This window comes from Homo sapiens, chromosome 17 (genome assembly GCF_000001405.40).
Source record: "Homo sapiens chromosome 17, GRCh38.p14 Primary Assembly".
NCBI classification, from domain to species: domain Eukaryota; kingdom Metazoa; phylum Chordata; class Mammalia; order Primates; family Hominidae; genus Homo; species Homo sapiens.
In genome coordinates, this window is record NC_000017.11 from 18,283,126 (window position 1) to 18,309,636 (window position 26,511).

Below are 26,511 nucleotides of genomic sequence, written 5' to 3' on the forward strand. Positions count from 1 at the left end.
ATCCCAGGCCGAGGCGGGCGGATCACCTGAGGTTGTAATTTCGAGACCAGCCTGACCAACATGGTGAAACCCCGTCTCTACTAAAAATACAAAATTAGCCAGGCATGGTGGCGCATGCCTGTAATCCAAGCTACTCAGGAGGCTGAGGCAGGAGAATCGCTTGAACCCAGGAGGCAGAGGTTGTGGTGAGCCAAGATCACGCCATTGCACCCTAGCCTGGGCAACAAGAGCGAAACTCCATCTCAAAAAAAAAAAGTAAAACTGCACAGGGTCCATGTACAAACTCCAGGAGTGTCTGTCTGTATTAAGTCTAAACTAGCTCATGCCTGCCTTTTCACAACTGGCATGGGGTACTCTAAAGAACAGAAAATAACAAACTGTTATCTTCTATTACAGTCTCACAACACACATCAGACACCAGATGTATGGGAGTTTTCCCCATACACCAAGCAACTCTCCCGCCACACACCAGTTGGACATCCTCTAATTCAATTCAATTCTGACACTATGCACCTGGAGATCCATCTAACGGTTAAGGGCTCAGTCCCAGAAGACTGCTGCCCCAAATTCCCTCAGATGTCAGTCACAAATCCCAGGCTGTGACCTGTGCTTCTGACTGACTGGCTATAAACTGGGGTTCCTCAGACCCCCTCCTTGGTTTGATTCTCAATAGAGTGGCTCACAGAGCTCAGGGAAACACTTTACTTATGCTTACCCGTTAATTACAAAGGATCCAGGTGAATACCCAGATGGAAGCAATGCACAGGGCAAGGGATGTGGGGAAGGGGTAGCTTCCATGCCCTCTCCCAAACACCCACCCTCCAGGAGTCTTTACCTGTTTAGCTATTTGGATGTGCCCCAAACCCAATTGTTTGATTTGTTTTTGTTGTTGTTGAAGAAGTCTCACTCTGTTGCCCAAGCTGGACTGCAGTGGGGCAATCTCGGCTCATTGCAACCTCCACCTTCCGGGTTCAAGCAGTTCTCCTGCCTCAGCCTCCCAGGTAGCTGGGACTACAGGTACGCACCACCATGCCTGGCTAATTTTTGTATTTTTTTTTTTTTTTTTTAGCAGAGAAAGGGGTTTCACTGTGTTGGCCAGGCTGGTCTTGAACTCCTGACCTTGTGATCTACCCGCCTCGGCCTCCCAAAGTGCTGGGATTACAGGCGTGAGCCACCGTGCCTGACCCTTGTTTGGGGATTTTATGGAGGATTTATTACTTAGGCATGATTGACAAATCACTGGCCACGTGTGATCAACTCAACCTCCAGCCCCTCTGCTCTTCCTGAGGTAGGGGTGGGACTCAAAGTCCCAACCTTCTAATCACAGGGTTGGTTCCCTGACAACCAGACCGATCCCAAGGCTACCCAGGAGCCCTTGGCCACTAGTCATCTCATTTGTATACAACAGACACAGCACTTAAAAAATTCCAAGGGTATCAGAAAATGAAGTCCAAATATATATATCTTATTATAAATCATAATATCACAGGTAGAAAACACATCATTTCTAACAAAATACACACATGCTGCTTGCTAAATATCCACCTCTAAATGCTCCAGAAAACAAATGGATCACACTCCAGCACTTGGGTTTACTGATTTAAAAGACTTTGTTGCCTAACTCAAGATAATTAATGTGTCATGTAATTAAAGCAGAAAAAAAAAAGATAATTAAAATCAAGAGAATGGTATTTCTAAAGCCAATAGTTCAGAATAACTGAAGGAGACTGTTCCGATTACTGTTTCTATACTGACAAAGCTCTATGGAGAGTTGTAAAAGAACCCAGAGAAGAAAGTCCAAAGAAAAGGGGTATGTGGAAAACCTCCAGGCCAGGAGGCCACTGGTGAGGATGAATCTGGCAGGGTTATAAACTCTGACTGGCCCAGATGCGGTGGCTCACGCCTGTAATCCCCACACTTTGGGAGGCTGAGGTGGGAAGATCTCTTGAGGCCAGGAGTTCAAGACCAGCCTGGGCAACATAGTGAGACCCCTCTGTATTTCTTTTAAGGACTTACTTCTTTGCTTTAGCCACCGCTTCAATGAAAACCTGCTTGTATTTCTGCACTTGCTGCCTTAGAACCACAAATTTGTCCTTTTTGCCATCACAGATCAGCTTCAGATCAGCTTCCAGTTCAGCCCGGAGGTCAGGCTTAGACATTTCATAGCCCATGGAATCATAACCTGCAGGGAGAGAGTCGAGCTCAGTGAGGGCCCACCTGAGACCCTCAGGGACTTGGGCGACACCACCCACTACCCACTGCAAGCTCTGTCCTCCCTTACCTTCCACAAGTCCCATGCCCAGGTGCCCAGGGAGGAACCGCTTGTCTGGGGTGAGGCCCACGTACATCCGGGCTTTGATGGTCTCGATGTGCTCCGCATGAGTGGCATCCGTACCTGGAAGCCACTTGCTGGTTACTCTGAGGTAATACAGACAACAGCTCCACCCGGGTGGCGCATGGGCACCTTGCTCACCCCGGAATCCCTCCTTTGCCTGGACAGCCTATGCAGGTAAGATGCCTTCATTTCATTCCCATATAGCTCATTCAAGAAATCACAATGGCAACCTCAACTCTCTTGTTCCCTCACATCCCATTACTCAGGAAAGCTGTCAATTCCAGCTTCAAAGCTCTTTTTAAAAATTCTCTTCCCCATGTGTCCAAGCCATACTTGCAGCTTGTGTCCCTATTTCTAGTCTCTTCCTCTACCCTAACCATTCTTTAAGCTGTGGCCAAAGGGACCTTTCAAAATGTAGCTCTGCCATGAAGGAAATGCAAATTAAAACTGCAGTGAAGGCTGGGAGCAGTGGCTTATGCCTGTAATCCCAGCATTTTGGGAGGCCAAGGTGGGCAGATCATCTGAGGTCAGGAGTTCGAGACCAGCCTGGCCAACATGCTGAAACCCTGTCTCTATCAAAAATACAAAAATTAGCAGGGTGTGGCGGCACGCACCTGTAGTCCCAGCTGCTCAGGAGGCTGAGGCAGGAGAATCACTTGAACCCAGGAGACAGAGGCTGCAACGAGCTGAGATGGCACCGTTGCACTCCAGCCTGGGTGATGGAGTGAGACTCTCTTTAAAAAAAAAAAGAAAAAAAAAAGGGCTGGGCGTGGTGGCTCACGCCTGTAATCCCAGCAATTTGGGAAGCCGAAGCGGGCAGATCACGAGGTCAGGAGATCAAGACCATCCTGGCTAACACGGTGAAACCCCGTCTCTACTAAAAATACAAAAAAAAAAAAAAAAAAATTAGCCGGGTGTGGTGGCGGGCACCTGTAGTCCCAGCTACTCAGGAGGCTGACACAGAAGAATGGCATGAACCTGGGAGGCGGAGCCTGCAGTGAGCGGAGATCGAGCCACTGCATTCCAGCCTGGGCAACAGAGCGAGACTCCACCTCAACAATAACAACAAAAAAACAACCAAAAAAACCAGTGAAATAGCAGTTCAGACCTACTGGCAAAATCAAAAAGAGAGATAATACTAAGTGTTAGTAAGGATGTGGATAAACTGGAATCCTAGTGCCTTGCTGGTGGAAATGAAAAACGGTACAGCCACTTCAGAAAAGTTTGGTGGTTCCTAAAAATGTTAAATGTAGAGTTACCAAGTAAACCAGCAATCCCACTCCTAAGTCTACCCAAGAGAAATGAAAACACATATCCACACAAAACCTTGTACAAAACTGTTCACAGCAGGATTATTTATAATAGCCAAAGAGTAGAAACAACTCAAGTGTCCATCAACTGCAACCTCTGCCTTCCGGGTTCAAGTGATTCTCTTGCCTCAGCCTCCCGAGTAGCTGGGATTACAGGCGCCTGCCACCAAGCCCAGCTAATTTTTTCATTTTTAGTAGAGAAAGTGTTTCACCATGTTGGTGAAGCTGGTCTCGAACTCCTGACCTCAAGTGATTGGCCCACCTTGGCCTCCCAAAGTGCTGGGATTACAGGTGTGAGCCACTGTGCCTGGCTCTTTATAGGAAATAACTAAAGTAGGCAAATCTGGCCAGGTGCAGTGGCTCACTCCTGTAATCCCAACACTTTGGGAGGTTGAGGTAGGAGGACAGTTTGAGGGTGCAAGTTCAAGACCAGACTAGGCAACATAGCAAGACCCTGTCCCTACATAAAACAAAAAAGTCTGGCTGGGCATGGTGGCTCAGGCCTATAATCCCAGCACTTTGGGAGACCGAGGCGGGTGGATCATTTGAGGTCAGGAATTCGAGACCAGCTTAGCTAACAGTGAAACCCCATCTCTACTAAAAATACAAAAATTAGCCAGTGATGCGCACCTGTAGTCCCAGCTACTCAGGAGGCTGAGGCAGGAGAATCTCTTGAACCTGGGAGGCGGAGGTTGCAGTGAGCTGAAATCGTGCCACTACACTCCAGCCTGGGTGACAGAGTAAGACTCTGTCTCAAACAAAACAAAACAAACAAACAAAAAACCCAACAAAAAAATTAGCTGGGTATGGCAACACATGCCTGTAGTCCCAGCTACTTGGGAAGCTGAGGTGGAAGGATCCCTTGAAACCCAGGGTTCATGGCTGTGACCTAGCCTGGGTGACAGAGTAAGATGCTATCTCTCCAAAACAAATTTTTTTAGGGGCCGGGCATGGTGGCTAACACCTGTAATCCTAACACTTTGGGAGGCCTAGGTGGGCGGATCATGAGGTCAGGAGTTTGAGACCAGCCAACCTGGCCAACATGGTGAAACCCTGTCTCTACTAAAAATAACAAAAATTAGCTGGGTGTGGTGGTGCGTGCCTGTAAGCCTAGCTACTCGGGAGGCTGAGACAGGAGAATCGCTTGAACCTGGGTGGCGGAAGTTGCAGTGAGCAGAGATTGTGCCACTCCACTCCAGCCTGCAGCAACAAGAGCAAAACTCCATCTCAAACAAACAACAAAAAAAACAAAAAAACTGACTGTGGTGATAGCTGCACAACTTTGTGAATATGCTAAAAAATGTACATTATACATTTGAAGGAGATAAACTGTATGGTATATAAATAAAGCTGTTAATAATTATATATATATATATATAAATTTTTTTTTTTTTTTTTTTTAGATGGAGTCTCTCTCTGTCACCAAGGCTGAAGTGCAGTGGCACAATCTTGGCTCACTGCAACCTCCACCTCCCGGGTTCAAGCAATTCTCCTGCCTCAGCCTCCTAAGTAGCTGGGATTACAGGCGTCAGCCATAACACCTAGCAATTTTTTGTATTTTTAGTAGAGATGGAGTTTCACCATGTTGTCCAGGCTGGTCTTGAACTCCTGACCCCCTACCTTGGTCTCCCAAAGTGCTGGGATTATAGGTGTGAGACACAATGCCCAGCCTGTTAATAATCTTTTAAAAATATTATTATTATTTTTTTGTAAGTGTACCTCTATGTGGTTCCTTTACTTAGAAATCCTGGAAGACTCCCTGCTGACCATGTACCACCATCTAAGCCCTTCAACTGGGCAAGCCAAGGCCCTGCAAAGTCAGGCTTGGATCATCTTTCCAGGCTCACCTTCTATGGCCACCCCCCTCCAATCCAGCTACAGCAGGCTTCTGCTTTCCTGCTCCTGTGCCCTTCCTCAGGCCTACCCTGCACTGGGCTGCCCTTCGCTGATCCAGAAGTCTTACTATGAGGTTTTGGTCCAGCTCAAATGCCAGTCCACCCATCACATTTTCTTCCCTGCCTACTCCCTGCAGAACTATTACATTGTATTCAATGTGTTGGTTTGGTTCTTCTGTTAGATTGAGAACTTAAAAAATGAGGTCTTATTCCTCCTTGTGTCCCTGGTGCTTAGTCCAAGCTCTCACTCTTGTGGGCCTCACACTTTGTACCTCAGTCTCTGCCTTCCGGGCTCAAGTGATCCTCCCACCTCAGCCTCCCTACCTATAGGCATGCACCTAATTTTTTGTAGAAATGTTTTTTTTGAGATGGAGTCTCACTCTGTCACCCAGGCTGGAGTGCAGTGCTGCGATCCTGGCTCACTGCATCCTCCACCTCCCGGGTTCATGCAATTCTCCTGCCTCAGCCTCCCAAGTAGCTGGGATTACAGGCATGTGCCACCACGCCTAGCTAATTTTTGTATTTTTTTAGTAGTGATGGGGTTTTGCCATGTTGGCCAGGCTGGTCTCGAACTCCTGACCTTAGGTGATCCACCCGCCTTGGCCTCCCAAAGTACTAAGATTACAGGCATGAGTCACCGTGCCCAGCCAGATCTGTTTTGTTGTTGTTGTTGTTGTTTGTTTGTTTGTTTTAAGACAGAGTTTTGCTGTTGTTGCCCAGGCTGGAGTACAATGGCACAATCTCAGCTACAGGTGCCCACCGCCATGCCTGGCTAATTTTTGTATTTTTAGTAGAGACAGAGTTTCACCATGTTGGTCAGGTTGGTGGTCTTAAACTCCCTACCTCAGGTGATCCACCCAGCTCAGCCTCCTGAAGTGTTGGGATTACAGGCGTGAGCCACTGCGCCCAGCAAGATGGGGTTTTACCGTGTTGCCCAAGCTGGTCTTGAATTCCTGGGCTCAAGTGATTCACCCATCTTGGCCTCCCAAAATGCTGGGATTACAGGTGTGAGCCACCACACCCAGCCTTCATACATTTTTATCAAATAAATCATGACGGGTGAACCTCTACTAATTTTACCTAAACCTGCAGGGTTTCTGGATGTCCTAGTGATGGTCAAGGACTTCACGTTGAAGCACTGCTTCCCAAGTCATAGGCCTAAGAAACTCCCTTTGTGGATGACGCAGCTGCTTATGTAACACATGCCCAGGGAGCTCTGCTTCCCCTCCACTGTGCTGCAGGTATTCCTGGACTAGGTTTGCCAGAGAAAGCCCTTGAGAGCCTTGACAAAAACGAATGGAGGGGACAGCAGATTAGTTACAAGGCCCTACCTGCAAAGCTTGAGCCATGGGACTTATCAGCAGGGTCCTGGCACATACATGAGGCCAGCGTGAGCAGCCTGAGTGAGCAGTGTGGGTTCAGACCTGCAGAGACAGCTGCCACCCTCACCCAATGCTCCACATGGGAAGGAGGCTCAGGGCTCTATCTGACACTTCAAAATGAAGATAGATTTTATGATAACTGTCCCAAGTTTTAATTGTTGGTTCCTTACATGCTGTTCTTATTCGAAAGAACAACAAATCCTCATGTGGCCAATGGGTGCTCCCAGTTGGGCCCTCAAAGCCATGGGAAAAGTCTCTGTTACTATGTGGACAGCACAGTGCATGGTTTAAGAGCACTGACTGTGGAGTTATTCAGACCAGGTTTTAATAATACACACTTTGTGAACTTAGGTAAGTTCTTAACCTCTCTGAGCCTTATTTCAACTATAAAATGGGATAAAGATATAGCAGCTGCATTAGAGAATGGTTTGAAGACTAGAGGAAACCTGTACCTGGTACACTGTAAGCCTTAGCTCAAGAGATGCGAGTTACCCAGAGGAGCCACTGACCAATGCCATGCTTCTCCATGAGGGCAATGAGGTCGGCCTCGGTGAGCAGCTTGGGTGGGCTGGTCTCCCCGTCCACCATCTCCACGGTGCTGGGCTGAAAGTGGGATCCTTGCTCATAGACAGGGAGGATCTACAGGGAGCGGCAGGTGCAACAGTCAGATGATTCCATCAGCACACTCAGGCAAAAAATAACCTCATTTCAAGGAACATGATCCTGCTCCACTAGAGAACTCAGGGCTCACAACACAACTGTCCTCCCTCTCACTGGGGACCACTCTTTATTACCTTGTCACTCCAGTGATCATATGGATACACATCCAGATAGTTTCGGGCCAGAATCATGAGGCCATGGGCCACAAAGCGTTCCTGAGCGATGTCGATCTCCACTGTGGTCTCCTGCCCCTGAGCATCCTGGGAGCAGCAAGCCAGGAAATGGCGAACAATAAACTCGTACAGTCGCTGTTCATCTCCCTAGGAAGAAAAGAGGAGTACGAAACTCCCCCTAGAATATCACCTCTCAAGGACAGGAGCATCACTGGTAGCCTTAGCCTAATGTCCTGCACAGAAGAGGCCACACTGCTCCTCAGGCCCTGCACTAACATGGAGTGCCAGGCAAACAAGTCCTGGGGAGAGGATGGGTTTAGGTTGACACATCTCACAACTCAAATCTGGCAAAGATAAGCAAAGGAGTCATCTTCCCTTCCAGACTGGGAAGTGGTTCTTTGATGTAAACGCAATCTAAGCAGAAAACAAGATGAAAGCGTAAGAAGTTAGCAAGACACTCCTCAAATACAAGAGACAGCAACATTGCACCTGGTGGCCTTAGCCCAACTTCATGCACACATTTAAGCAGTAATTTTCAGGGTAATTTTCAATTAGGTAATCAATGATTTAGTGAGCCTCAGTCTATCAAAAGCCCATGAGACATTTATACACATATCCAATAATTCCCCTTCTAAGGATTTCTTCAAAGGAAATAACTGGAGAACCACAAAAATATTTATGTCTACAAATGTTAACTATAGTATCAAAAACACACAAAAAACAGATTTGGCAAAATAAATTATGGCACATCTTTGTAATTGTTAAATATCATGCTTAATAGGCAATTTTACCCCCTTATAAACTTTTGTATTTCTTAATTTGTCTAAAATGAACATGTAATTTTTTTTTTTCCGAGACAGAGTCTCACTCTGTCGCCAGGCTGGAGTGCAGTGGTGCAATCTCGGCTTATTGCAACCTCCGCCTCCTGGGTTCAAGCGATTCTCCTGCCTCAGCCTCCTGAGAGTTGGGACTACAGGCACATGCCACCCCGTCCAACTAATTTTTCTATTTCTAGTAGAGATGGGGTTTCACCATGTTGGCCAAGATGGTCTCAATTTCCTGACCTCGTGATCTACCCGCCTTGTCCTCCCACAGTGTTGGGATTACAAGCATAAGCCACCGCGTCCGGCCATATTTTTAAAATCAGAAAGAATGTATTTTATTAAAAGAAGGAGGAGAAGAACAAAAGACTAAGATTTCCCCAGCTTTGTGAGAAGCCTACAGATGTAAACAAGCATTTCCCCAACTTTGTGAGAAGCCTACAGATGTAAACAAGCCTAATGGCTCCTGTGCCTGCAGAGCCTGCCCCTGGCTGAGGAAATGACTGAGACAGACAAGCAGAGCTGTGTGGGAAACTGCAGTGACAGGGGGTGGCACGACTGGGGTGGCAGCAAAGTTTCAGGAGGCAACCAAAACTGAGCCAGCCTTGGGAGGATGGATAGAATTCTCTAGTTCCAGGGACTGGGAAGGCCACAAGGCTCACAGTGGAGGTGGGGGTCTGCACAGGGGTTGCCTATGAAGGACTAGCAGGGAAGCAGCAGGAGCTGATGGAGAGTGGGATGTGGAGCTGGATTAAGACGGGGGCCCACCACGGGGAGGGATGAGGCGGTCTTTATCAAAGCCAGGCAGAGGATTGTGAAATGAGAGAGATCTCAAAATCACTTGTTTTTACAATCACAGCCCACAGAGTAAATTCAAACCTTACTACTGACCCCCAGCACTTCCCTATGGGTTCCAGCAGGCAGTACATTCAGGGAAACCAACCTGTAAGTTGTTGGTGTATTTGGTGGGGTGAATGGGAGGGTGAGCTTGGTCAGACTTGTTCCCATTGCGTGGGGTGGGACCACCCCGCTCTAGAATGCTCTGGGCAAAGGCCCCCCAGCGTGGATCGGGGGTCTGCTGTTCCACCAACACCGTCAGGTTTAAGTCTCTGGGAAAAATGTTTGTTTCTGTTCGGGGATAGCTGATGTACCTAAAACCAAGGCAAACAAACAGAAAAAGAAATTGCTAGGCTCTCTGATTGGTCTATAAACAACTGAAAGCACACACTAACACCTGCAAACACTCATCTGATGTAGCCAACTCAACTGAAGGCAGCCTACATTACCTGCTTCAGAAAAGTTCTGAGATGAGATGCACCCCCTCATGGGATGAAAAGCAGCTGGCTCTCCTGCTAGCACACTCAAAGAAGCCAAAAGGGGCAGCACAGCACAGGAAAAAGGCCAGCAGCCTCATAGCCTGGGGCTTGTCACTGGCCACTCTGAGGGTCAGTCTGACAGACCAGCCCTGATGCAGCACATGAGACTCACTGACCCTGACAAGTTCCACCAGCGTGTGCTTCAAGACTTTTCTTAGAGTACACAAAGAACAATGCTGTCCGATAAACTGTAATGTGGACTCTATTTGTTTTTTCTTTTTCATTTTTGAGATAGTCTTGCTGTGGCACCCAGGCTGGAGTGTAGCAGCGCAAGCTTGGCTCACTGTGGCCTCCGTCTCCCAAGCTAAAGTGATCCTCCTGCCTCAGCCTCCTGAATAGCTGGGACTACAAGTGTGTGGCACCATGCCTGGCTAATTTTTTTTTTTTTTTGTAGAGACAGGGTTTTGTCATGTTGCTCAGGTCGGTCTTGAACTCCTGAGCTCAAGTGATCCTCCTGCCTAGGCCTCCCAAAGTGCTCAGATTTCAGGTGTGACCCAACATACCCAGTCTCTATTTGTAATTTTTGTTTCCCCCCAAGAGACGGAGTCTTGCTGTGTCACCCAGGCTGGAGTGCAGTGGCGTGATCTCAGCTCAGTACAACCTCTGCCTCCCGGGTTCAAGCAATTCTCTTGCCTCAGCCTCCTAAGTAGCTGGGATTACAGGTGCCTGCCACCACACCTGGCTAATTTTTGTATTTTTAGTAGAGATGGGGTTTCACCATGTTGGCCAGGCTGGTCTCGAACTCCTGACCTCATGATCCACCCACCTCGGCCTCCCAAAGTGCTAGGATTACAGGCGTGAGCCACCACGCCCAGCATAATTTAAAATTTTCAATTAGTCACTTAAGTTACTGAGATTACATTCTATTTCATAGAAGTCTTCAAAACCCAATGTATATTTTACATCTATAGCGCATCCCAATTTGGACAACTTGAATTTCAACTGCTCAATAGCTGCAGGCTGGACAGCACAGTTAGAGGACCTCAGTGCTGGGGTGTATATGACTGGGGCGGGGAGGAGTTTCACAGGCAAACAACTTTTAAAGGTGCCACCCACTGTCTGCCACTTGCCAGGGCCACAGGGAGATGGCTGAGGAGTCAAAAGTAAGATCTGAATCTACTCTATGGGTTTTTACATAGAAACACCTTTTCTGTATCAGAAAAGAGAAGTCAAAGTCAAAATCCTACCTCAGAGCTTGGGTGCTATCTAGACAATCAGTTTTTCCCCATAAACTCTTATTTCTTTATTTCTTTCTTTTTCCTTTTTTTTTTGAGATGGAGTCTCACTCACTCACCAGGCTGGAGTGCAGCGGTGTGATCTCACCTCACTGCAACCTCCGCCTCCTGGGTTCAAACGGTTCTCCTGCCTCAGCCTCCCCAGTAGCTGGGACTACAGGCGCACGCCACCACGTCCAGCTAATTTTTGTATTTTTAATACAGATGGGATTTCACCATGTTGGCCAGGATGGTCTTGATCTCTTGACCTCGTGATCTGCCCGCCTCAGCCACCCAAAGTGATGGGATTACAGGTGTGAGCCACCGTGCCCAACCCATAAACTCTATTTCTCAAATATTTCATCCTGATAAAGACGGTTCAAATTCTACTCCCAAACCCAAAATACTTACCCTTGAGTGTAGAGCTTCTCAGCAATCCTCATGGTTTCTTTAGCATTTATTCTCAACTTTCGAGAAGCCAGCTTCTCAAGCTCCTGTGAAATGGGTCAACAGGCATGTTAGGTGTACTGCATGGGTCAGGCAGCACAACTCAAATACACAACTCATCTTCAGTCAAATCTGGCCCGTGTCACTCCAGGTGCTTCTGTCAAACAGAGCTGAAAAGGCTGCCCAACAACGATTTCTGGGCCTGCCAAGCAGAGTCAGATCCTAGCCTAGTGGTTCTCAGACTTTAATGTGTGCAGGACTCAACTGGGAAGCCAGCAGATTTGGGGCCCTGACCACTGGGGAAGGTGCTATGTTGCGCAGGCTGATCTTGAACTCCTGGCCTCAAGCAATCCTCCCGCCTTGGCCTCCCAAAATGCTAGGATCACAAGCGTGAGCTACCATATCCAGCCCAAACTCCACATTTTTTTTTTTGAGACGGAGTCTCGCCCTGTCGCCTAGGCTGGAGTGCAGTAGCATGATCTCGGCCCACTGCAACCTCCACTTCCTGGGTTCAAGTGATTCTCCTGCTTCAGCCTCCCAAGTAGCTGAGATTACATCACCACCATGCTTGGCAAATTTTTGTATTTTTAGTAGAGATGGGGTTTTGCCATGCTGGCCTGGCTGGTCTCGAACACCTGACCTCAGGTGATCTGCCCGCCTCGGCCTCCCAAAGTGCTGGGATTACAGAAGTGAGCCACCACGTCTGGCCAAAACTCTGCATTTTAAAAATTTTTTTATTTTCGAGACAGTCTCGCTCTTGTTGCCCAGACTGCAGGGCAGTGGCACGATCTCGGCTCACTGCAACCTCTGCCTCCTGGGTTCATGCGATTCTCCTGCCTCAGCCTCCTGAGTAGCTGGGACTACAGGTGCTCACCATGGCTGGCTAATTCTTGTGTTTTCAGTAGAGACGGGGTTTTGCCATGTTGGCCAGGCTGGTCTCAAATTCCTGACCTCAGGTGATCTGCCTGCCTTGGCCTCCCAAAGTGCTGTGATTACAGGCGTGAGCCACCGCGTCTGGCCCAGAAATCTACATTTTTTTTTTTTTTCACATGGAGTCTTGCTCTGTCATCCAGGCTGGAGTGCAGTGGCGTGATCTCGGCTCACTGTAAGCTCTGCCTCCTGGGTTCACGCCAATTCTCCTGCCTCAGCCTCCCGAGTAGCTGGGACTACAGGCACCTGCCACCACGCCTGGCTGATTTTTTCTATTTTTAGTAGAGACAGGGTTTCACCATGTTAGCCAGGATGGTCTCGATCTCCTACCTCGTGATCTGCCCGCCTCAGCCTCCCAAAGTGCTGAGATTACAGGCGTGAGCCACTGCGCCCGGCCCGAAATCTACATTTTTTAACAAGCAGTCTAATACACTGCTTTAACACAGACAGTCTGAGAACCACACTTTGGGAATACCACCCAAGCCCCAGTAAATTCTCCTGGAGGGTGAAAATAATGAGCTGTTCTTTTCCCTAGGTGACAAGCTAACAATGCTGATGACTATACGTCACACTACAGCACACTTAACCAGGGAGGACTAAAACACATATGCCTACTATATAAAATCAATGCAGCTGGGCACGGTGGGTCATGCCTCTAATCCCAGCACTTTGGGAGGCCGAGGCGGGCGGATCACAAGTTCAATAGATTGAGACTACCCTGGCCAACATGGTGAAACCCCATCTCTACTAAAAATACAAAAATTAGCTGGGTGTGGTGGCGCGCACCTATAGTCCCAGCTACTCAGGAGGCTGAGGCAGGAGACTCGCTTGAGCCCGGGAGACGGAGGTTGCAGTGAACCAAGATCACGCCACTGCACTCCAGCCTGGCGACAGAGCAAGACTCTGTCTCAAAAAACAAACAAACAAACAAACAAAATGCATAACTTCCCCCATGCAATCCCTCCACACATATACACATTTATTGTGGCTTGACCAAGACAAAAGAACGCACTGACCACCAGTCCCTGTGTGCTTCTTAGCCTCCATGCTTGTTAGCCTGAGTGTTCTGTATGTCCAACCTCCAGAGTGAATTCTAATAGTAATTCTATCCCAAATTTTCCTGCTAAGTGGTGACTGAGAAGGCATACTCCTAATGTGATTTACTCAGACTTATGTTCTGTCAGGGTGGCTCTTTCTGGGGTCAAATAATTTGAGAAGCCCTGTTCTAAAGTAGGTTCATATAGCAGATTATTTAAAGCAATATTTATACAGATTATACAGCAACATGAAAAAAATGCTTGGGTGGAAAAGCTACTCTAATTATAATGCTGTAAAAATATGCATATTAAAAAACAGGAAGAGATACTAGTAATTATGTAAGGATGGTGAAGCCATAGGTTGTCTTCCTCTTTTTGTTTCCCAAACCTCATACAATGCAGTTATATTGCATTTGTTAACAAAAACAACAAAAAAAAGGCCAGGCGCGGTGGCTCACGCCTCTAATCCCAGCACTTTGGGAGGCTGAGGTGGGCAGATCACCTGAGGTCAGAAGTTCGAGACCAGCCTGACCAACATGGAGAAACCCTGTCTCTACTACAAACACAAAATTAGCCAGGCATGGTGGTGCATGCCTATAATCCCAGCTACTTGGGAGGCTGAGGCAGGAGAATCACTTGAACCCGGGAGGCAGAAGTTGTGGTGAGCTGAGACCGCACCATTGCACTCCAGCCTAGGCAACAAGAGCGAAACTGCGCCCTGTCCCTGTCCCTGTCCCTCTCCCTCTCCCCACGGTCTCCGTCTCCCTCTCTCCACGGTCTCCCTCTGATGCCGAGCTGAAGCTGGACGGTACTGCTGCCTGATTCTCCTGCCTCAGCCTGCGGACTGCCTGCGATTGCAGGCGCGCGCCGCCACACCTGACTGGTTTTCGTATTTTTTTGGTGGAGACGGGGTTTCGCTGTGTTGGCTGGGCTGGTCTCCAGCTCCTAACCGCTAGTGATCCGCCAGCCTCGGCATCCTGAGGTGCCGGGATTGCAGACGGAGTCTCGTTCACTCCGTGCTCAATGGTGCCCAGGCTGGAGTGCAGTGGCGTGATCTCGGCTCGCTACAACCTTCACCTCCCAGCAGCCTGCCTTGGCCTCCCAAAGTGCCGAGATTGCAGCCTCTGCCCGGCCGCCACCCCATCTGGGAAGTGAGGAGCGTCTCTGCCCAGCCGCCCATCGTCTGGGATGTGAGGAGCCCCTCTGCCTGGCTGCCCAGTCTGGAAAGTGAGGAGCGTCTCTGCCCGGCCGCCATCCCATCTAGGAAGTGAGGAGCGCCTCTTCCCGGCCGCCATCCCATCTGGGAAGTGAGGAGCGTCTCTGCCCGGCCGCCCATCGTCTGAGATGTGGGGAGCACCTCTGCCCTGCCGCCCCGTCTGGGATGTGAGGAGCGTCTCTGCCCGGCCGCCCCGTCTGAGAGGTGAGGAGACCCTCTGCCTGGCAACCACCCCGTCTGAGAAGTGAGGAGCCCCTCCGCCCGGCAACCGCCCCGTCTGAGAAGTGAGGAGCCCCTCCGCCCAGCAGCCGCGCCGTCTGAGAAGTGAGAAGCCCCTCCGCCCAGCAGCCACCCCGTCTGGGAAGTGAGGAGCGTCTCTGCCCAGCAGCCACCTCGTCCGGCAGGGAGGTGGGAGGGTCAGCCCCCCGCCCGGCCAGCCGCCCCATCCGGGAGGGAGGTGGGGGGGTCAGCCCCCCACCCGGCCAGCCTCCCCGTCCGGGAGGGAGGTGGGGGGGTCAGCCCCCCGCCCGGCCAGCCGCCCCGTCCGGGAGGTGAGGGGCGCCTCTGCCCGGCTGCCCCTACTGGGAAGTGAGGATCCCCTCTGCCCGGCCACCACCCTGTCTGGGAGGTGTACCCAACAGCTCATTGAGAACGGGCCATGATGACAATGGAGGTTTTGTGGAATAGAAAGGGGGGAAGGGTGGGGAAAAGATTGAGAAATCGGATGGTTGCCGTGTCTGTGTAGAAAGAGGTAGACGTGGGAGACTTTTCATTTTGTTCTGTACTAAGAAAAATTCTTCTGCCTTGGGATCCTGTTGATCTGTGACCTTACCCCCAACCCTGTGCTATCTGAAACATGTGCTGTATCCACTCAGGGTTGAATGAATTAAGGGCAGTGCAAGATGTGCTTTGTTAAACAGATGCTTGAAGGCAGCATGCTCCTTAAGAGTCATCACCACTCCCTAATCTCAAGTACCCAGGGACACAAACACTGCGGAAGGCCGCAGGGTCCTCTGCCTAGGAAAACCAGAGACCTTTGTTCACTTGTTTATCTGCTGACCTTCCCTCCACTATTGTCCTGTGACCCTGCCAAATCCCCCTCTGTGAGAAACACCCAAGAATGATCAATTAAAAAAAATAAAAATAAAATTAAAATTAAAAAAAAAAAAGAGCAAAACTCCATCTCAAAAAATAAAAAATAAAAAATAACAGGCCAAGCAGTGGTTGGGTGTGGTGGCTTATGCCTGTAATCCCAGTACTTTGGGAGGCTGGGGCTGGAGAATCACTTGAGGCCAGAAGCTTGAGACTAGCCTAGTCAACATAGTGAGATTCCATCTCTACCAAAAAATTTTAAAAATAATTAGCTGGTCATAGTGGTACATGACTATAGTCCCAGCTACTTGGGAGGCTGAGGTGGGAAGATCTCTTGAGCCCAGAAGTTTGAGTCTACAAAAACAAAATAAACAAAAAAACAAACAGTGAGGCTAAGCAGGACCGTGTCTTTCTCCAGTGTTTTCTTGTGTGGCCTGGTGATGGGTGATATTTTCTTCCACCAAGCCACAGTCTAGGCGGTAGAACCACAGCCTCAAAACAGTAAGTGTTCCCCGAGTGCCTGAAACAGCCTGTCTGGAACATACCACAGTGTCCAAGGCTTGAGGCCGCCACTTGCTCTTGGGCTTAGATCTGACCTCTACCACAGTTGCCATGGGATCCTAGAAAGCCAGGAAAGAAAAGACCATGTTAACCTGTTAGTGCATCATCTCCATCCTTCCTATGGATAGCCCATGCCAATCCTTCTAGATCACACTGACCACCGCCAGCTAAGCCCGCAGTGACAGCCTAGAAGAGTGCCCCACTTAATGTCGCTTGTAGCTGACAGTATGGTAGACACCATCACTACTTTCCCACTCAAACCAAGATTGTGAAGGGCAATTTCACAAGCCTTAAGGTGCTTCCACCAGAGCCTATGAAATCCAACAGCCTATGCATCACCTGAGTACAGTTTTCTATGTACACGTGCACAGTGCTCTTTCTGTTGTTGTTTTCTTTAAAATACAGAGATGGGGTCTTGCTATGTTGCCCAGGCTGGCCCAGAAGTCCTGGGCTCAAGCAATACTCCCATAAGCCACCATGCTTGGCCCAGTGCTCCTTTAAAAAAAAAATTCAGGATAATACAGTTAGAAATAGGAGAAATTGCTGGGCACAGTGGCTCACGCCTGTAATCCCACCACTTTGGGAGGCCGAGGCGGGCGGATTACAAGGTCGAGAGCTAGACCATCCTGGCCAACATGGTGAAAATCCATCTCTACTAAAAATACAAAAATTAGCTGGGCGTGGTGGTGCACGCCTGTAGTTCCAGCTACTGGGGAGGCTGAGGCAGGAGAATCGCTTGAACCCGGGAGGTAGAGGTTGCAGTGAGCTGAGATCGTGCCATTGCACTCCAGCCTGGCAAATGAGCTAGACTTTGTCTCGGGGGAGAAAAAAAAAAGAAATAGGAGAAATTGTACAAGTTGGAGACCTTTAATCTTAAAACCAGCTTCATAGTTTACATCACCCACCACGTAGTCCCGCACCACATCCGAGTGAAGGAGAAACAGGGCAGGTCTTTTTATTACTTACTTTTATATTTTATTATTATTTGATTTTTTTTTTGAGGCAGTATCTCGTTCTGTCACTCAGGCTGAAGTGCAGTGGCATAATCATGGCTCACTGCAGCCTCAATCTGCTGGGCTCAAGCGATTCTCCCACCTCAGCCTCCCAAGTAGATGGAACTATATGCAGGTACCACCACGCCCAGCTAATTTTTCTTTTTTAGAAAGATGGGGTTTCACTATGAAACCCAGGCTGGTGGTCTTTTTATTTAACAAATAATTGTACAGTGTCACAGAGACTCCCAGTGGTCCAGGGTCAAAGGGTGGAGTGAGAGAGAGATGGAGAAGGCAGCATGGTCTGCAGAAGGGGCAGGGACACACTAGGACTCTGCCATGTACAGCTCTCACGTGTCTGTGGGTTAAGTCTCTTCACTTTCTTTAGCTTCCTCATCTGGAAAATGTGGATGCTATCACTGCCTTCAGAGGCATTATTAGGATTAAACAAAACAACACATAACGAAGTGTACCTGGTCCATAGCGGGTGCTGCACAGTTATCACATCCCTTTGCCTAATTAGTAACAAATCTGCCAGTGGGCTACAGCCAAGAAGCACACCATGAATTAAGCCTAGAGAGCTCGGAATTTTACTTAAGCATGACTCTGTGCAGCCCCTGGGTTAAACCAGGCTGTTATGTGCTAATAGGAAGTGGCATCAGAAAGTAAACAATCAGCCCAAGGGCCAGGAAACATTAGGGTGGGTCCCAACTCTGCCACCAACTGGCCTATGACCCGGGCCAGTCTTGCTCCCTTCTATGACACATGCGTGTCCCACCCACCCCGCCAGCCCTTTCCCTAATCTCTCCAGCCTCTGCTCAAGTGTTACCCCTCCCCTCACTGTCCCTCCGGCCTTTCTCTATCCCTTTACCTTGCTTTATTTTCTTCCTAGCTTTTATCACTATATAAAATTAGCCCACTAATTTGTGACTTTCACTTCTCTAGATGTCCTCATGTGACCAATAAAGAGGGGGCTGAGCCAAATGCTGTTCATTCTCTCCTAGCTCTATAAGTCAATGACCTGGACTGGTCTAGATAATCCTTGCTAATTTCTGGTGATAGTATATGCCCCAAGAGGGGATTTCAACTATACGTTTCCCAAAATTTCTGATTTTATCTAAAAATAATGTAGATACTTCCCTTTTCCTTTTAGTGCTGTTCTCATGGGGTTCGTCTTATTGGTTCCCAAAAAGTGATCCCCTGAGATGCAAACTTAAAGCTAAAGTCCAATGGGAGAATGAGACAGATCACCTCTGCCGACAGTGGGAGTGGTTTGGGAGGTGTGCAGAATGTTTCCTAGATCATTAGGGGTTCTTACCTCCACACACAACTGATAGAGAACTAGGCAAGCCGTGTGGTTAAAGAGTCGATGCCTTTTCCAGTTGAATTCTACGATACCATCTTTGTGGTCATGAGTTACTATATTAAGGAGAGACAAACAGAAAGGCTGTGTCTCAGAGACATGTCATGATATGACAGATAGAAAAAGGTTTATTGTGGTGAAAGTCAAACGAATATCAAATAGGGAGGAGTTTCTGGATAACAAAGGGAACTTTAAGTGGATTGTAATGGGCCAGGGAGGATGACAGCAAGACTAAAATAAATCACATCTTTATTAGTGCTATTAATGCTCACAGTCCCCCTCCTTAACCTTGAGCCCATAGGTCCCAGGCCATAACACCCACTCCAGGCCCTACCTTTAATTCTGTGGAAGATTTCTGGTACAAAAGCCTGAATGGCTTTGAACCGCTCCACCACAAAGCCCAGTGTGGGGAACTGGCAGCTGCCGTAACTGATGAGCTGCTCTGCCAGCACCTCAGGAAAAATCCTCTGAAGCCGCAGGGTCTGGAACCTAGTAAAGGCAGCTCCTGGAGAGTGAAGGAGAGTGAAGGAAGGTGAAAATGATGGATAATGAGAGTCCAGGGCTGGCTGCACATATCGACACAGAGCCCATTTTTGGTCCCATAACACAACATTAATGTGGCCATGGGAGAGGTCTGCCTAGCTCCTCACCAATCCTCAGGTCCAGCTCCTGCCTCACATCCACAGCATCGCTCACCCTCTGATCAGGCTCGGTCAGGTTTTCACAAGCTGTCCTGACGGCATGGGGTGTGATCTCAGAGAATCGGGCTCGCAACACCTGCAGATTGGGCTTTACTGCAGAACACAAGGTGTTACCAAGGTCAAAGTCAAATCACACTGCCCTCCATCATAAAGGACTCACTTTTCTTAAAGCCCCTTGAAATAAAGGCAAACCAGTTCAAGAAGCTGTGAGATGACCAATTTACCTATTAGGTTAAATCAATGGTGTACAGTGTCTAAAGAGGAAACATCACCATAACCTTTAAACTGAGTGTACTGTCAGAAATAGTGATGGAGTTAATTTTAGCTAGTAACTGTGGGGAAAAGAGAGATCAGATCGTTACTGTGTCTAGTAGAAAAAGGAAGACATAAAGAAACTCCATTTTGATCTGTACTAAGAAAAATTGTTCTGCTTTGAGATGCTGTTAATAATCTGTGACTTGTCCCAACCCTGTGCTCACAAAAACATGTGCTGTATTGACTCAAGGTTTAAAGGATTTAGGCCTGTGCAGGATGTGCTTTGTTAAAAATGTGTTTGCAGGCAGTACGCTTTGTGAAAGTCATCGCCATTCTCCACTCTCTATTAACCAGAGACACAATGCACTGTGGAAGGCCGCAGGGACCCCTGCCCAAGAAAGCCTGGGTATTGTCAAGGTTTCCCCCGACTGAGACAGCCTGAGATATGGCCTCGTGGGAAGGGAAAGACTTACAGCCCCCCAGCCCGACACTCGTAAAGGGTCAGTGCTGAGGAGGATTAGTGAAAGAGTAAGGCCTCTATGCGGTTGAGATAAGAAGGCATCTGTCTCCTGCACGTCTCTGGGAATGGAATGACTCGGTGTACAACCGACCATATATTCTATTCTGAGATAGGAGAAAACCACCTTATGGCTGGAGGCGAGACATCACGGCGGCAATACTGCTCTGTTACTCTTTACTGCACTGAGATGTTTATGTAAAGGTAAACATAAATCTAGCCTACGTGCACATCCAGGCACAGCACCTTCCCTTAAACTTATTTATGACACAGTCTTTTGTTTGTTTTCCTGCTGACCCTCTCCCCACCAACACCCTATAGTCACACTGCATTCCCCTCCCTGAGATAGTAAAGATAGTGATTGATAAATACTGAGGAACTGAGACCAGCACTGGTGTAGGTCTTCACTTGCTGAGCGCCGGTCCCCTGGGCCCACTTTTCTTCCCCTTTACTTTGTGTGTGTCTTCTTTCTTTTCTCAGTCTCTCGTCTCCACCTTGTGAGAAATACCCACAGGTGTGGAGGGGCAGGCCCCCTCCAATAACTAAAATACTAAAATGCTCTTGGTGAACATTTTTTTTTTGGAGACAGTCTCACTCTGTCACCCAGGCTGGAGTGCAGTGGTGCAATCTCGGCTCACTGCAACCTCTGCTTCCTGGGTTCAAGCAATTCTCCTGCCTTGGTCTCCTGAGTAGCTGGGACTACAGGCGCCCGCCACCACACCTGGCTAATTTTTGTATTTTTAGTAGAGACAGGGTTTCACCATGTTGACCAGGCTGGTCTTGAACACCTGACCTCAGGAGATCCACCTGCCTCAGCCTCCCAAAGTGCTGGGATTACAGGCATGAGCCACCGTGCCTGGCTGCCTTTTGCAACTTTAATCTTACTTGCTCTCTCAGGCCTTTTGAGAAAAGAAAAATATTGTCAATTAAAGGGTTCTGTAGGGGAATTTCATGTCCCTTCAGCAAAGAATATAGGACATATACACACTGTCCTTGAAAGTTAATGCACTTAAATTTCCAGGAGTCATTACAGCTTTGAACACAAAACCACTAAAGGAAAGTAGCAACCCCACCCTCTGAGCCAGAGAATGGCCTGTTCATCACTCCCTCTAAGTTACCCAAAACCATTAACACTGTTAGAGCCTTTAAATCCACTGCAACAATTATTTATTAATAGTCGAGCATTGTATAATATGAGAGATTAAAAAAGAAAACAGAACATTTTATAATTATTTTTTGTACTTTACTTGTGGTATATTCATTCTTTTATACATATTCAATATGTAATTTTATTTTTCTATTTTTGCTTCCATTAACCAAATACTAAAAGAATTCAATATATAACAACAACAACAACAACAAAAAGAATATAAAGTCCCTGTTCTCAAGGAGCCGGGTATCTGCTTGTATGCTTGTACCTAACAAGAAATGAGTCCTGGGCTAAATGGTTTACACCACTCATTAACTCATCTAATCTCTGTGGCAGTCCCAGGAAACATGTCAGATTGGCCTGATGTTAGAGACAAGGAAGTTGAGGCTCCCAATGGCTCAGTGATTTGCTCCAGGACACATGGCTGGTGGGACTCACAGACTGGGAGGGAGAGTACCTGCAGAGGACCTCATCCGTGGCCCATGTGCACATATAAACAAGAACACTCTATTTATGGAGTTCCAAAGTAGAGAAAGTCAGCAGCAGCAGCAGCACTTACCAGCCTTACACACGTGGATAATCTCAAACCCGATGTTTTCGCCTTCTCTATCACAGTCAGTCCAGATCACCAGAGCCTGGCACTGGCGAGTCTCTCGTTCCAAAGTTTTCTTAAGTTCGCAGTGGAATAAGAGTGGTGAGAACAGAATTGCACAACAGTGACTTGACATCTCTAAGCTAAGGGGATCTGACTGAAGGTTAATGCTGCTCTTGGAGTGTGACAACTTGGCAAGGGAAAGAGAACAGAGAAAACTGCTCTCATTGGTGCTAATCATGATACAACCCCTTAGAACCATAAACGAGTTTCTAGAATAGAGGGTTTAATATAACTTCCCCAATATGACAAAACCTGAAATTCAGCTCTAACACACACACACGCGCGCGCGCGCGCGCGCACGCACACTTCGAGAGGTTCTGATTATGACCTAGTTAAAAAAAACGAAGCCGGCTGGGCGTGGTGGCTCACGCCTGTAATCCCAGCACTTTGGGAGGCCGAGGTGGGTGGATCACGAGGTCAGGAGATCGAGACCATCCTGGTTAACACGGTGAAACCCTGTCTCTACTAAAAATACAAAAAATTAGCCGGGCATGGTGGCAGGCACCTGTAGTCCCAGCTACTCGGGAAGCTGAGGCAGGAGAATGGCATGAACCCGGGAGGCGCAGCTTGCAGTGAGTCGAGATCGCACCACTGCAGTCCAGCCTGGGTGACAGAGCAAGACTCCATCTCAAAACAAAACAAAACAAAACAAAACAAAATGAATCCCAATTGAATTTCATCCAAAGTTTTATCAGTTCTCAATAAATTAACTGGCCAGGCTCGGTGGCTCACACCTGTAATCCCAAAACTTTAGGAGGCTGAGGCGGGTGGATCACGTGAGGTCAGGAGTTCGAGACCAGCCTGGCCAACATGGTGAAACCCCATCTCTGTTAAAAATGCACAAATTAGCCGGGTGTGGTGGCAGGCGCCTGTAATCTCAGCTACTTGAGAGGCTAAGGCAAGAGAATCGCTTGAACCTGGAGGCAGAGGTTGCAGTGAGCTGAGATTGCACCATCATACTCCAGCCTGGGGGACAAGAGCGAGACTTCGTCTCAAAAAATAAATAAATAAATAAATAAAAATTAAAAATAAATTAACTATACATGCCCTGACTGCTTGACAACTGGCAATTTACTGTCAAACAGGCATTTATACTTTGTAGCCTCTTTCATCTAACAAGGGGTGAGATGGGGGCTACGCGCTAATAATTTACAATACTTAGGATTATTTTTTGATAGGGTCTCACTTTCTCACCAGGCTGGAGTGTGGTGGTGTGATTACGGCTCACTGCAGCCTCAACCTCCTGCCTCCTGGGATCAAGTAATCCTCCTTCCTCAGCCTTACTAGTAGCTGGGACTATAGGCATACATCACCATGCCTGGTTAAATTTTTTTTTTTTTTTGAGAGATAGGGTCTCACTATGTTGCCCAGGCTGGTCTCAAATTCCTGGAGTTCATGTGATCCTGCCTTGGCCCCACAAATTGCTGGGATTACAGGCATAAACCACCATGTCCAGCCTTTATTCCTAGGATTTAAACAACTACCATTCATAAAAAAAGTTTACTTCAGTCCCTTGGCCACTTAGCCACATTTATACAATGGGTGGGAACCAGCTTTTTAAATCATGGTAGTGACTTTGGTGGAAAACCTTATCTCCAAATGCCAATGCATTAAAAACAAAGAAATCACTCTGTTTGACTCTGTGGTTTGACTCAGTGCCATATGTCTTCCAAAAGACCCTACCTTGATGTCTACAAAATTCTCTGGGCAGTACTTTTCAATTTCTGCTTCAAAGAGGACAAGAGGGTTGCAGCTCTGCCTAGAAAAGAAATGAAAACAGAGTCCCAACTCAGTACATGACAGAGAGCCCTCCAATCTAATGACAGCAAACTGTTCCAATGGGTTCATGGTGTATCCCCAAAAGAAAAGGTCCCGGTGAATTGAAAGTAAGGCTATGACCCTCTGCATGACACACTGTCCACTTCTCCAAGAGTGTGAACAGGACTGATAAGATGGCATTCTGGAGCCCTTTCACAGGTAAATGCAATCCAATGGCTGCATGAAAAAGGTCTGGCAATTTTGAGGAACACCAAAAGTGACTGTTTAAAGATTTAATAAAAATTCACAATGGATCAGATAATCCTAGGTCATCTTAGTATTATAAATTACTGCTGGGCGTGGTAGCTCACGCCTGTAATCCCAGCACGTTGGGAGGCCAAGGTGGGTGGATCACGAGGTCAGGAGATCGAGACTAGCCTGGCTAACACGGTGAAACCCCGTCTCTACTAAAAATACGAAAAATTAGCCAAGCGTGGTGGCAGGCACCTGTAGTCCCAGCTACTCGGGAGTCTGAGGCAGGAGAATCGCTTGAACCCGGGAGGTGGAGGTTACAATGAGTCAAGATTGTGCCACTGCACTCCAGCCTAGGCGACAGAATAAAACTCCGTCTCAAAAAATAAATAAAATAAATAAATAAATAAATAAATTACCAAGGCACAGTGGCTCACGCCTGTAATCCTAGCACTTTGGGAGGCAAAAGAAGGCAAACCCTGCTTTGTTTAAGACCAGCCTGGGCAACAGGGTGAAACTCCATCTCTACTAAAATAGAAAAAATTAGCTGGGTGTAGTGGCACATGGCTGTAAGGCCAGTTACTTGGGAAACTGAGGCATGAGAATCGCTTGAACCCAGGAGGCGGAGGTTGCAGTGAGACGAGATTGCGCCACTGCACTCCAGCCTGGGTAACGCAGCGAGACCCTGACTCAAAAAAAAAAAAAAAAAAAAACCGGGCATGGTGGCTCACGGTCTGTAATCCCAGCACTTCAGGAGGCTGAGGTGGGCAGACCACCTGAGGTCAGGAGTTCGAGACCAGCCTGGTCAACATGGTGAAACCCTGTCTCTACTAAAAATACAAAAACTAGCCAGGTGTGGTGGCACGTGCCTATAGTCCCAGCTACTCGGGAGGGTGAGGCAGGAGAATCACTCGAACCCAGGAGGCAGAGGTTGCTGTGAGCCGAGATCACACCACTGCACTCCAGCCTGGGAGACAGAGTCTCACTCTGAAACTTTGTCTCCAACAAAAAAAAAAAAAAAAAAAAAAAAAAAAAAAAAAAATTACCCAGTAAGATCAACATGCCTCAAAATTCCTGTGAAATTTCACAACTTACTATAATCTGAAAGTCCTTCCCTTGAGAATTGTACTGACCATTTTCGAAACTGCATCTGGAAATCATGAGCCAGTAAATGTCCAGAAACTGAAGTCATTACCATGGTAACATTCTGAATGATGACAAAATTCAAAATTCAGTTAGTCTTTTTGCAGTTATTATTCTGCCAAATCATTAAAATGAGAGGGAGGAGCTTCTATTAAAGACATTTTTAAAAACCTGATTGGGAAGAAATAAACATAAATATAAGCTCTTCAAAGCCAAAAGTCACAGGAATACAATCACCATTCTAATGATATGGTGTATAACTGACGCCTCTTGCATCAGTTAAATTTTCCTCAAACTATTGTATATTAGCTTTTTTTTTTTGTAATGAAGAGCTGAGATGGGACCATATTTTATTAAAAAGAGAACTCCTCATAAATTATAAAGTGATCACCCCATATCCAGGAACCTTTAGGTTGTTAACAGTTGTTATTCTTAAGACAGCGACATATTCTACATATGACGAGGCTGACTACTTTCTCTTGCTTATGATTGAAATATTTTAGAAATATTTTAGCACCTACCTGGCCATACAGATGATAATCAAATTCATAGATCTTGTTGAATTTTGAAAGTCCTTCTCTCTATAAAACAAAAATAAGTAAAAAATATAAATTACGTTTAAAACAATGGATTCCTTTGTATAATTCTTTCTGATCCTGAATTTGGCAATGATTTCTTGGTTATGATACCAAAAATATAACCAACATTGCTCCAAAGAAGATAAGAAATGGCCAACAAGCATATGAAAAGATGCTCAATGTTATTAATCATTAGGAAAACACAAATCAAAACCATGATGAGGTACCACTCCATACCCATTAGGATAATAATTAAATAGAATAATAAAAAAAACAAGTAAAATAACAAGTGTTGTTGAGGATGTGGAGAAATTGGACATTGTCAGTGGAAATGTAAAATGCTTTGGCCACTCTGGAAAATGTTGGTGTTTCCTCAAAAAGTTACAGAGTTATCACATGTCACAGCAATTCCACTCCTACAAATTTACCCAAAAGAATTAAAAACGCATTCAAATACACTTTGGGAGGCTGAGACAGTTGGATCACTTTAGGTCAGGAGTCCGAGACCAGCCTGGCCAACATGGTGAAACCCCATCTCTACTAAAAATACAACAATTGGCCAGGTGTGGTGGTGTGTGCCTGTAATCCCAGTTACTTGGGGAGGCTGAGGCAGGAGAATCACTTGAGCCCAGGAGGTGGACGTTGCAGTGAGTGGAGATGGCGCCACTGCACTCTAGCCTGGGTGACAGAGCGAGACT

General features: G+C 47.2%; 1 protein-coding gene across 5 annotated transcripts in view, besides 1 other annotated feature; it reads right to left on the reverse strand.

Annotated features, from left to right (window-relative positions):
* The window catches only part of TOP3A (DNA topoisomerase III alpha), a 43,567-nt gene that overhangs the window by 11,698 nt on the left and 5,358 nt on the right, over window positions 1-26,511 (reverse strand). Inside the window, exons 2-15 of one of the 5 annotated variants that reach the window (NM_004618.5) lie at window positions 25,757-25,816; window positions 25,226-25,299; window positions 23,766-23,841; window positions 21,987-22,095; window positions 19,455-19,598; window positions 19,139-19,309; window positions 18,760-18,860; window positions 16,434-16,508; window positions 11,578-11,660; window positions 9,520-9,727; window positions 7,717-7,902; window positions 7,432-7,561; window positions 2,282-2,395; window positions 2,017-2,182 (exon numbers count right to left, since the gene is read on the reverse strand). In NM_004618.5, the coding sequence (NP_004609.1) occupies window positions 2,017-2,182; window positions 2,282-2,395; window positions 7,432-7,561; window positions 7,717-7,902; window positions 9,520-9,727; window positions 11,578-11,660; window positions 16,434-16,508; window positions 18,760-18,860; window positions 19,139-19,309; window positions 19,455-19,598; window positions 21,987-22,095; window positions 23,766-23,841; window positions 25,226-25,299; window positions 25,757-25,816 (1,697 nt within the window). Of the gene's footprint in view, window positions 1-2,016; window positions 2,183-2,281; window positions 2,396-7,374; window positions 7,562-7,716; window positions 7,903-9,519; window positions 9,728-11,577; window positions 11,661-16,433; window positions 16,509-18,759; window positions 18,861-19,138; window positions 19,310-19,454; window positions 19,599-21,986; window positions 22,096-23,765; window positions 23,842-24,347; window positions 24,371-25,187; window positions 25,300-25,756; window positions 25,817-26,511 lie in introns of those variants that run through there. The other 4 variants (NM_001320759.2, XM_047436634.1, XM_047436633.1 and 1 more) reach the window with 4 other exon arrangements.
* Window positions 14,031-14,729: an enhancer, noted in NCBI's record as "H3K27ac-H3K4me1 hESC enhancer chr17:18200470-18201168 (GRCh37/hg19 assembly coordinates)". NCBI's record gives its function as "activates a minimal SCP1, AML or CMV promoter by ChIP-STARR-seq in naive H9 embryonic stem cells {active_cell/tissue: H9 hESC(naive)}" and the evidence as "EXISTENCE:reporter gene assay evidence [ECO:0000049][PMID:30033119]".